General features: G+C 42.2%; 1 long non-coding RNA gene across 4 annotated transcripts in view; it reads right to left on the reverse strand.

The window, feature by feature from the left end:
* The window catches only part of LOC105369736 (uncharacterized), an 89,145-nt gene that overhangs the window by 25,775 nt on the left and 51,162 nt on the right, over positions 1–12,208 (reverse strand). For 2 of the 4 annotated variants that reach the window (XR_007063562.1, XR_944867.1), the window contains one exon: positions 8,937–8,986. The exons of the other annotated variants lie outside the window; for them this stretch is intronic. This is a non-coding gene — a long non-coding RNA (uncharacterized LOC105369736). Of the gene's footprint in view, positions 1–8,936; positions 8,987–12,208 lie in introns of those variants that run through there. 4 annotated transcript variants of the gene reach the window in all.

Raw genomic sequence — 12,208 nt, forward strand, 5'->3', positions numbered from 1 at the left:
GCACATACTGATGCTATTGTTCTTTCAACAGTTGACCTTTTCTCTGGCATTGTATCTTTAAGTGTGCAGACACTTAAGCCACAACATTTTAAAACAAGGAGACATTTGACTATTGTTCTTTCTGATGGATATGCTTTTAATCTATGTATAGAAGTTATGCAGTATATGTTTTCATATTATTAGACGACTTTATCCAATTGATATACTGTTACAAAAGAGTTACATGCTTAATGTCATTGTAAAACAAGCTACCTAGTGAGAAGTTCCTGAACAAAATGAATCTTCTTCCTAAAAAAATTCTTTTTCTGCATTCTATTTAACATTTGCTAAGTTGATAGTATTAATTCATGTGTATATATTATATACTTTTTCTATTATGTTATCAATTACACATGCTTTGAAATCTGAGAGGATAAAAAAGCTTTCATACATAATCATCAAATTATCAGGGTCTTCATAAAAGTTTTAAAATACTCATAGAAAAGCAACAAATATAAACATAATATGCTGTCATTTTATTGTTATCTTGACTTTTAGTTCCAGTGTAAACCAAATTTTATCTATGGTTATTAACATTGCAGTGGAGAAGTTCTAGAAAGCATCATTAAAACTTAGTGATTATTTTTCACTACTAGTTGATTTTGAACTGTTAAAATCAAACAGAAACTGTTAACACCACCAGTACATTCGTCCTTTGTAATAACTCACTGGGGGTGAATTTAGGCTAGAAGTTTCTAATGGTAGGACTCTCTTCTTATCCATCATGTATTCCCAGTTTAAGTACTGTGTGAAATAACTGCATGTTGTATTAAACTGAATCACGTCTCAATGTAAATAGTTGCAATAATAAAACCTATTTAAGAATTGGTTTTTTGAATAGACTATTTAAGTCTATTTAAGACTAAATGACTATTATGACTATTACTATTGCCATTGTTATTTAATGTCACCTTTTTTTTTGAGATGGAGTCTCACTCTGTCACTCTGGCTAGAGCGCAGTGGCGTGATCTCAGCTCACTGCAACCTCTGCCTCCTGGGTTCAAGCGATTCTCCTGCCTTAGCCTCCCGAGTAGCTGGGATTACAGGCACCTGCCACTAAGCCCAGCTAATATTTTGAATTTTTTTAGTAGAGACGGGGTTTCACCATGTTGGCCAGGCTGGTCTCAAACTCCTGACCTTGGGATCTGCCCTCTCTTGGCCTCCCAAAGTTCTGGGATTTCAGGTGTGAGCCACCGTGCCCAGCCTTAATGTAACCTATTTTTGAGCCCAATAAAATTATTCACTAAATCAATCATTCAATATTTATTAAGCACTTATTTGTGCCAAGTTCTCTTCCAGGCATTGAGACTCAAGAGTGAACAAAACATGCAGAGATCCCTGCCCTAATCAAACTTACATTCTACTACTAAAGACAGATAATAACTACATGTAGTAAATAGATTACATTAAGATGTATACATCAGCTGGTGGTGAGTGCTTCAGAGAATAGGGATAGGGAAGGAGTGGAGTGGGGTAAGATTTGCAGTTGAAAGTAAGGTATTCAGGAAAGGAGTTCAAGTGAAATTAGTATTTGAGCAAAGACATACATGGGGTGAGAAAGTGGAATCTGGGAGAAATAGCAATTACACAAAAGTATAAAAGGGTCTGCAAGAAATTTAAAAGTCTTTTAATTTATTACAGAATTTGGTATAGAATATTGATAATATAATCTTATTATGTTATTATCCATCTTCTTAGACATCTGCTTAAAACATATGCAAATTATCCACATTTTAAATCCCTTACATATAGGGAGGTTTTAACTCATTAAAGCTGAAGTCTAATTATAACTCTGAAAAAGTTATTTTGGAGGAAGAACTAATTATAGCATGTAGAAGTGTGTCAGGCCAGGTGTCACTAATGCAGGCCTCCACAACAACTGTTTCCGTGCTGACTGAGTGGTGAAGTTAAATATTAAAAGCCAGTGCCCTTATACAAAGGCTGAGATTTAACAAAAGCCCATCAATAGTTTTGCCTAGGCATTTCCTGGGCCTTAAAGCATGACAAAATAATGAAGGAATTCTTAACAGGACCACTGAGGACTAAATAAGTTTTATTGTGGGTCTAAAGAAACTCCCCAGGCCTCCATAAACAAGTTTATTGGGAGTCTGAAGGAACTCCTCAAACCTCCGAGATTTAGCAGGAGACAAGATAAGGATAATCACCCCAGCACCTGGACCCATTCAGATTAAGTAAATTTACTGAGGCTCTATAGGAACTCCTTCAGAACTCAGACGTTAGTTATAGATTTAAAGAAGTTAGGCCGGGTGCGGTGGCTAATGCCTCTAATCCCAGCACTTTGGGAGGCCAAGGTGGGCAGATCACGAGGTCAGGAGATTGAGACCATCCTGGCTAACACAGTGAAACCCAATCTCTACCAAAAATACAAAAAATTAGCTGGGCATGGTGGCACACGCCTGTAGTCCCAGCTACTCAGGAGGCTAAGGCAGGAGAATTGCTTGAACCCAGGAGGTGGAGGTTACAGTGAGCTGAGATCGCACCATTGTACTCCAGCCTGGGCAACAGAGCAAGACTCCATCTCAAAAAAAAAAAAAAAAAAAGACGTTATATCACTTATGTCTTTAGATGAATGCACATTTACACCTAGACATATAGTTTATATACTATATAGCTTAAGGTATATAAGCTCTTGAAAAATTTGTAATTTGGAGTTGGCCTGGTGATAATTTCCAGGCCTTCTCCCTGTAACTGGTTGCAGAAATTAAAACTCTCTCCCTCCCTATTTCATCTGCATCTCACTATTCGGCCCTGAGAAATAGCCCAATCCTCAGTTTGGTCTGGGAACGGAAGTAAATACTAGCTATTTGTAAAATATGTCATAAAAATCTGAGTTTTAGTGAGGTAAGGGAGCATATTGCGTGGCTATCTGAGGAGCATATTCTAAGGAGCAGAAGCAGCAGTACAAAGGTGGGATGGTGTATTAATCCTTTCTCTCACTGTTAATAAATACATAACTGAGACTGGGTCATTTATAAGGGAAAGAGGTTTAATTGACTTACAGTTCAGCATGGCTGGGGAGGCCTCAGGAAACTTACAATCATGGCAAAAGTGAGAGACAGGACTAGCTGGATTTCCTATAAGAATTCCTAAGCCTAGCTGGGGAAGGTGACCACAGCCACCTTTAAACACAGGGCTTGTAACTCAGCTCACACCTGACCAATCAGGTAGTAAAGAGGGCTTACTAAAATACAAATTAGGCTAAGAGCAGGAGGTAAAGAAATAATCAAATCATCTATTGCCTGAGAGCATAAGGGGAGGCACAATGATCAGCATATAAACCCAGGGCATTCAAGCCGGCAGTGGCAACCTCCTTTGGGTCCCCTCCCATTGTATGGGAGCTCTGTTTTCACTCTATTAAATCTTGCAACTGCACACTCTTCTGGTCCGTGTTTGTTCCGGCTCGAGCTGAGCTTTCATTTGCTACCAAGCACTGCTGAATGCTGCTGTCACAGACCCACTGTTGAATCCTACCCCTCCGGATCTGGCAGGGTGTCTGCTGTGCTTCTGATCCAGTGAGGCACCCATTGCTCCTCCCAATCAGGCTAGAGGTTCACCATTGTTCCTGTGCAGCTAAGTGCCCGGGTTCATCATAATTGAGCTGAACACTAGTCACTGGGTTCCACGGTTCTCTTCCATGACCCAAGGCTTCTAATAGAGCTATAACACTCACTGCATGGCCCAAGGTTCCATTCCTTGGAATCCATGAGGCCAAGAACCCCAGGTCAGAGAACAAAAGGCTTGCTGCCATCTTGGGAGCAGCCGCCACCATCTTGAGAGCAGCTCACCACCATCTTGGGAGCTCTAAGAACAAAGACCTGCTGGTAACATCTGGTTGCCTGCACGGGGATTCTCCAAAGCGATGAGTAATAGACCACTTTTGCTTGCTATTCTGTCCTATTCCTTAGAATTGGAGGAAATACTGGGCACCTGTTGGCTGGTTAAAAATGATTAGCGTGGCCACCGGACTTAAGACTCAGGTGTGAGGCTTCCTGGAAAAAGGCTTTCTAATGACCCCCAACCCTTCTGGGTTGGGAGCATTGGTCTGCCTGGAACCAGCTTCCACTTTCACAATTTCCTGGGGGAAGCCAAGGGCCAACTAGAGGCAGAAAGCTGTCGTCCTGAACTCCCGGCATTGGCCGGTCGAGTTCATGGCACAGCCAGAAGTCTCTACTCAATAGTTGCCCATGAATGTGCCCCTACCTCTCCTTCTGACCCATACCTCCTGGGTCCTGACCAAGACTTTCTTGAAAGTGTAGCCCCAAAATTCTCCTTACCTCTGATCCCTGCCTCCTAGGTACTAATGCTTCAGACTTTCATTTCCTATCCCAAGTATTAGAGCAAGTTGTATCTCCAAAGGGATCTAAGGAAGCTCAATGCTGCGTCCTCAGGCATCTAGGCTGTGAATCCAGTGAGTCTGCCCCTGGTATCCCTCCCAATTTAGGTATACAGCTCTTGACATGGGCAGTTATGTGGGACCCGTTCCCCACCACCCTTGCCAGGGCCCCAAGTTTGTAAGTGGCTAGGAGGATTGCTCTCCCATTGTGCAAGATACTCTCCTCTCCCAATTTCTACCCAGCTTACCCTCCCCCTGCAATACAATCTCCAAGCCTTGGCTCCTTGGCCAGGGCCTTAGAGCTGATGACCCAGTACTTTAACAACTGGAATTGGGTCTACAACAACATAACAGATCAGGGTGAAAGCAAAATGAGTAAATTAAAGGGAAAAGAGAGAAGGCAGAGAGAGGGAGAGAGAAGAGAGAGAAAAAGGGAGAGAGAGAAAAGAGAGAGAGAAAGTCAGAGAAAAGAAAGAAAGAGAGAGAAAAAAGGGAAAAAGAGGGAAAGAGAGAAAGATAGAAGTGGTAAAGAAAAAACAGTGTGCCCTATTCCTTTAAAAGCCAGGCTAACTTTAAAACCTATAATTGATAATTGAAGGTCTTCTCCATGACCCTATAACACTCCAATACTACCTTGTTGTCAGTGTAAACAAGGGCATAGCCTGAAAACACTGAGACCACGGACAACCCTTAGCCTTCCTATCAAAAATCCTTAACCCAGTAACCCACGGATGGACCAAATGCATTCAATCTGTAGCAGCAACTGCTTTGCTAACAGAAGAAAGTAGAAAAATAACTTTTAGAGGAAATCTCATTGTGAGCACACCTCACCAGTTCAGAGCTATCCTAAGTCAAAAAAAGCAAAAAGGTAGCTTACTAACTCAAAAATCTTAAAGTATAGGGCTCTTCTGTTAGAAAAAGGTGATTTAACACTAACCACTGATAATTCCCTTAACCCAGCAGATTTCATAACAGGGGATTTAAATCTTAATTATTATGCAAAGGTCCGACCAGACCTAGGAGGAACTCCCTTCAGGACAGGGCAATAGATGGTTCCTCCCGAGTGATTGAGGGAAAAAAACACAATTGGTATTCAGTAATTGAGGGAAACTCTCGTAAAAGCAGAGTTAGGAAAATTGCTTAATAATTGGTCTGCTCAAACGTGCAGACCAATTTTGCACTCAGCCAAGCCTTAAAGTACTTAAAAAACCTGCAAGCCCATCTTTTTCTCCTCGCTCTCCTTCTCACAGGAAAAAGGCACATAGGATAAAAAGATCCATCTCTCATATTTCATACCCAAAAGGACTTAATCCAGGGCAACAAAAAATTTAAGACTGATAATCAGGGTGTATTTCTACAAAGGAAAAGAAGGACAAAGGCCCTAGTGGGCAAAAACTCTATCTCAGTTCTGACTCAAAAGGTTGTCTACACCCTCTCTGAAATGAATTTGCATAAGAACTGTTGTTTATGGGAATGCATCTTGATGGGGCAGCTGGGTTCTTATGAAATATTCAGAAGCCCAGCCCAGCTCTAGAACTCACCCCTAGCGCAAAGGCAATGTTGGGCACGCTGGTAAAGGACCTCTAGAATCCAGCAGCCCAGACCCGTTTCTCTGTGGTCAAGAAAGGTGGGAAAAGGCGTGCAGGACTACTACATCGGTGAGCGTAACTAATCCGATAAGCAGAGGTCCATGGGTGGTTATGCACCCTGGAAAGGAATAAGCATTAGGACCATAGAGGACGCTCTAGGACTAATGCTCATTGGAAAATGACTAGGGTTGCCGGCATCCCTATGTTCTTTTTCCAGATGGGAAACATTTCTCCCAAGGCAAAAATGCCACTAAGATGTATTCTGGAGAATTCAGCCCAGAGTGCATATACCTTTTTCTCTGTCAGACTTGAAGCAAATTAAAATAGACCTAGGTAAATTCTCAGATACCCCTGATGGCTATATTGATGTTTTACAAGGGTTAGGACAACCCTATTATCTGACATGGAGAGACATAATGTTACTGCTAGATCAGACACTAACCCCAAATGAGAGAAGTGCCGCCATAACTGCAGTCCGAGAGTTTGGTGATCTCTGGTATCTCAGTCAGGTCAATGATAGGAAGATAACAGAGGAAAGAGAACAATTCCCCACAGGCCAGCAGGCAGTTCCCAGTGTAGACCCTCATTGGGACACAGAATCAGAACATGGAGATTGGTGCCACAGATATTTGCTAACTGACGTGCTAGAAGGACTAAGGAAAACTAGGAAGAAGCCTAATAAATTAGTCAATGATATCCACTATAACACAGGGAAAGGAAGAAAATCCTACTGCCTTTCTGGAGAGACTAAGAGAGGCATTGAGGAAGCATACCTCACTGTCACCTGACTCTATTGAAGGCCAACTAAGGTTAAAGGATAAGTTTATCACTCAGTCAGCTGCAGACATTAGAAAAAAACTTCAAATTCCACCTTAGGCCTGGAGCAAAACTTAGAAACCCTATTGAACTTGGCAACCTCGGTTTTTTATAATAGAGATCAGGAGGAGCAGGCAGAACGGGACAAACAGGATAAGAAAAAGGCCACCACTTTAGTCATGGCCCTCAGGCAAGTGGACTTTAGAGGCTCTGGAACAGGGAAAGGCTAGGCAAATCAAATGCCTAATAGGGCTTGCTTCCAGTGAGGTCTACAAGGACACTTTAAAAAAGATTGTCCGAATAGAAATAAGCCACCCCCTCATCCATGCCCCTTATGTCAAGGGAATCACTGGAAGGCCCACTGCCCCAGGGGACAAAGGTCCTCTGAGTCAGAAGCCACTAACCAGATAATCCAGCAGCAGGACTGAGGGTGCCTGGGGCAAGCGCCAGCCCATGCCATCACCCTCACAGAGCCCCAGGTATGCTTGACCATTGAGTGCCAGGGGGTTAACTCTCTTCTGGATACTGGTGTGGCCTTGTCAGTCTTACTCTCCTGTCCCAGACAACTGTCTTCCAGATCTGTCTCTATCTGAGGGGTCTTAGGACAGGCAGTCACTAGATACTTCTCCCAGCCACTAAGTTGTGACTAGGGAACTTCACTCTTTTCACATGCCTTTCTAATTATGCCTGAATTCCCCACTCCTTTGTTAGGGAGAGACATCCTAGCTAAAGCAGGGGCCATTATACACCTGAGCATAGGAGAGGGAACACAGGTTATTGTTCCCTACTTGAGGAAGGAATTAGTCCTGAAGTCTGGGCAACAGAAGGACAATATGGACAAGCGAAGAATGCCCATCCCATTCAAGTTAAACTAAAGGATTCCACCTCCTTTCCCTACCAAAGGCAGTACCCACTTAGACATGAGGCCCAGCAAGGAGTCCAAAAGATTGTTAAAGACCTAAAAGCCCAAGGCTTAGTAAAACCATGCAATAGTCCCTGCAATACTCCAATTTTAGGAGTACAGAAACCCAATGGACAGTGGAAGTTAGTGCAAGATCTCAGGATTATCAGTAAGGCCGTTGTACCTCTATACCCAGCTCTACCTAACCCTTATACCCTGCTTTCCCAAATACCAGGGGAAGCAGAGTGGTTTATGGTCCCGGACCTTAAAGATGCCTTTTTCTGCATCCATGTATCTTTAACCTCCTTGTTAAGTTTGTCTCTTCCAGAATCGAAGCTGTAAAACTACAAATCATTCTTCAAATGGAGCCCCAGATGCAGTCCATGACTAAGATGTACTGTGGACCCCTGGACCAGCCTGCTAGCCCATGCTCCAATGTTGATGACATCGAAGGTACCCCTCCTGGGGAAATATCAACTGCATGACCCCTACTACACCCCAATTCAGCAGGAAGCAGTTAGCGCAGTCATTGGCCAACCTCCCCAACAACACTTGGGTTTTCCTGTTGAGAGGGGGTACTGAGAGACAGGACTAGCTGGATTTCCTATAAGAATTCCTAAGCCTAGCTGGGGAAGGTGACCGCACCCACCTTTAAACACAGGGCTTATAACTTAGCTCACACCTGACCAATCAGGTAGTAAAGAGGGCTCACCAATTAGTCTAAGAGCAGGAGGTAAAGAAATAGTGAAATCATCTATTGCCTGAGAGCACAAGGGGAGGGACAATGATCGGGATATAAACCCAGGGCATTCGAGCCGGCAGTGGCAACCCCCTTTGGGTCCCCTCCCATTGTATGAGAGCTCTGTTGTCACTCCGTTACATCTTGCAACTGCACACTCTTCTGATCCATGTTTGTTCCAGCTCAAGCTGAGCTTTTGCTCACCATCAACCACTGCTGAATGCCACTGTTGCAGACCCACTGTTGACTCCACCCCTCCAGATTTGGCAGGGTGTCTGCTGTGCTTCTGATCCAGTGAGGCACCATTGTGACTCCTGATCATACTAGAGGCTTACCATTGTTCCTGTGCAGCTAAGTGCCCGGGTCCATCCTAATTGAGCCAAACATTCCACGGTTCTCTTCCATGACCCACAGCTTCTAATTGAGCTATAACACTCACCGCATGCCCAAGGTTCCATTCCTTGGAATTCATGAGGCCAAGAACCCCAGGTCAGAGAACAAAAGGCTTGCTGCCATCTTGGGTGTGGCCTGCCACCACCTTGGGAGCTCTAGGAGAAAAGATCCACTGGTGACAAAAGCAGAAGCAAACATATCCTTATCCACATGACAGCAGGAAGGAGAAGTGCCTAGCAAAGGGCTAAAGCCCCTTATAAAGCCATCAGATATCATGAGAACTCACTCACTATCACAAGAACAGCATGGTGGTAACCACCCCCAGGATTAAATTACCTCCCACTGGATCTCTCCTACAATACAGGGGGATTATGGGAACTACAATTCAAGATGAGATTTGGGTGGGGACACAGCCAAACCATATCAGATTCTGAGTGTGATTCTGAGGTATGAGTGTACCTGGTGAGCTCCACCAATAGTAGGGAGGCCTCTGAGGCTGGAGTGGAGACAGTAAGAATAGGTAGGTAGGAGGTGAGATGAGAGAGTTGGGGCTGATGGAGCAGGGCCTTGTAAGCCATGTTAATGGTGTTGGTTTTATTTTGAATGAAATGAGGCCATGCAGAGTTTTGAGTGGAGAAACACAGCATAAGAGTCAGTTTGCACAGGACCATGCTGGCTGATGTCCTGAGATTAGCCACAGTGAATAAGTAGATGAATAGAGAGACTAGCTGAAAGTCCATTATGGTAATCTAGGCCAGAGGTGATGGCAGCATAAATGAGGGGTATCAGGGTGGTGGTAGTGGGGGTGCAGAGAAGAGGTTGGACTCAAGATTAAAGTAAAAATTAAGAGGATTTTCTGATGGAATGAGTAGGAGATGGGTGAGAGAAAAAGAGGAGTCAAGGATGGCTCCAAACTGTAGGTAGAGGTAACTGGAAGAACAAAGTCTCCATTAACTGAGATGAAAAGACATTGGGAGAAGCACATCTGTGGAAGAGATGGAACATGGAAGTGGAGTTTCATGTTGGGCACATTGAGTTTCAGCTGCCTAGCAGACATTCAAATGAAGATGATTAATATGAGCCTGGAGCTCAGAGGAAAAGGCCAGGCTAGATATATAAACTTGAAAGTAATGAGCATATACATGGTATTAAAATTCATAGAATTTGAATAGAATCCCCCAAGGAGTGAATAACAAAAAGAAAGATTCAAATTTGAGCCTCAGGGTCCTCATGTTAACAGGCCTTGGGATATGAGAAGGAATCAACAGAGGATAAAAAGGAGCAGCAAATGAAATAGAAAAAAGCTTGGAATTTGCAGAAGTGACATAAAGTGTACTGAAAAGCAGGAATTGATCAACTGTGTTCAATGCTGTTGTTGAGAGGTTGATAAAATAAGGACTGAAAATTGACCATTAGATTCACAAAAGGGGATCAATCACCACTGTCCTTGCCAAGAACACATCTTGTTCAGTGATGGAGTGAAAACTTGAAGGAACAAAGTTTATGAGTGAACAAGTCAGGAAGTAGAGTCCATGAGCACAAATACCTCTTTTGTGATATTTAATCATTAAAGGGAAAAGAGAAATGAGAAGAGAGCCAGAAAGGAAGTGAGTTCCACAGTTTTTTTTTAAACAGCTTTATTGAGATATAATTCTCATTTCATAGCGTTGTTTCATGTATGTATTTATTTATTTTGAGTTAGGAGAAATAAGCTCATGCATTTATACTGTTGAGAATAATCCAAAAGGGGGGAAACCTAGAGATGAATGAATTGCTGGCATAATATTCTTGGATGGAATCCAGTATACAAATGAAAGAGTTGGCCTTTGATCATGGCACAGAGAGTTCATCTGGATAAATAAGAACGTAGGTAAAGTTTGAGTAGAAATCTGGTAGAGTTTCTTTTGATAGCTTTTGTTTTTTCAGTAAAACTGGAAATAATGTTATTAACAGAAAGGGATGATGGGAAAGAGGTGTTGGATGTTGGAGAGGAGAGAAGATATGAAATAGAAGAATATGACAGCAAATGGACTAGAAAATATAATTGCCTAGCTGTCTTAAGGGTCCATTCAGGGTAATGAATTTAAGAGAGACAAGTTAGCATATGGTTCATAGATGAACCAGTTGTGTTCATCTGCACTGTGTAGTTGGAAAGAGGAAAGAGTTTAATTTAAGCATGGTTAGGGTTGTGCCAAGCAAATGTAATGAAATGTTCCCCGATTCTCCTAAGCTAAAAGTAATCTCACCTTCCTTGGAGCTTCCATAGCATTCCCTTTCAATCTTGCTTATTGAAATGTTGTATCTTGCATATATTCTTAGTTGCTCAACAGCCCCTGATAACTTTGTATCATTCTGGCTCCTACAAGTCTAAGCTTACTGTGAAGCATATAGCAGAATAATTATGTCATAATGATAATCTAAAAAATGGGTTTCCTGAGATCAAATCTTCTTCACAATGAAGTCGTGTATGATAAAGAAAAGAACATCATCAATGGCAGTGTTATTGTGAGTCATATGTCTCAATGTATAAGATAGTTCCCTCTGAACTATATTTTTTTCTATGTTGGAGAAAAGTCCTTTATGTACCATCTTAATGAATTTGTGAATCATTGAAAGAAAAAAGGCTGGGTTTTGGAAAAATGACAAAGTCTATGAGTTGTTAGTCTCTTTAACCTCCATTTGTTACCTCTTTCTCTGTTCTTGGAGTGAGTCCTCTTCTCCAGCTCTAAAATGTCTATTGTTTACCATCTCCAAATACCTGACTCATAGAAAAAGCTCTGATACTTACACTGGTGTCAGATTTAATATTGCATGGCCTTCAGTAAATGTGCCACCTTAATCAGGCAAATGCAATTAAAATGTTGTAATCTGTTAAATTCTGTCCCCTTTTGAAATAATTTAAGACTCAACAAATAGACTAAACAGATTTGGCCAGCCAAGGAGTATGTGTAAAAGCATTCAATATGTATTGGTGAGGCCCTCTGAAAAGGTAGGAATTATTTATTTGTTTTAAGTGAGTTGAGTCATGAGTAAATAAAGGGGAAGAAAAAGGCTGTTGGTCCATACCTTTTCCCCCTTTCCTGGATTCTTCTGCTTTTCTGGGGAGATAAACTAAGGACTGCTTTCATTTTAGCTGCTAAAGTCTTTTCTTGGTAGCAACTGGGAGCAGATGAGGAGCAAATGGCATCAACGAAGCTGTGGAGGTGGCCTTTCCATTTTCCAGGTCCACCTGACTGGCGCAAGAGATTCCTCCCTTGTTAATCCTCTCTACCCTGCTCATCACAGACCAGACCAGAACTCCTCCCAGATTCTAACTTGAACTTCTCTCTTTACCCAGGATATCTAGATATATATATTGATGAATGACATTTTCTATT

This window comes from Homo sapiens, chromosome 12 (genome assembly GCF_000001405.40).
Source record: "Homo sapiens chromosome 12, GRCh38.p14 Primary Assembly".
NCBI classification, from domain to species: Eukaryota; Metazoa; Chordata; class Mammalia; order Primates; family Hominidae; genus Homo; species Homo sapiens.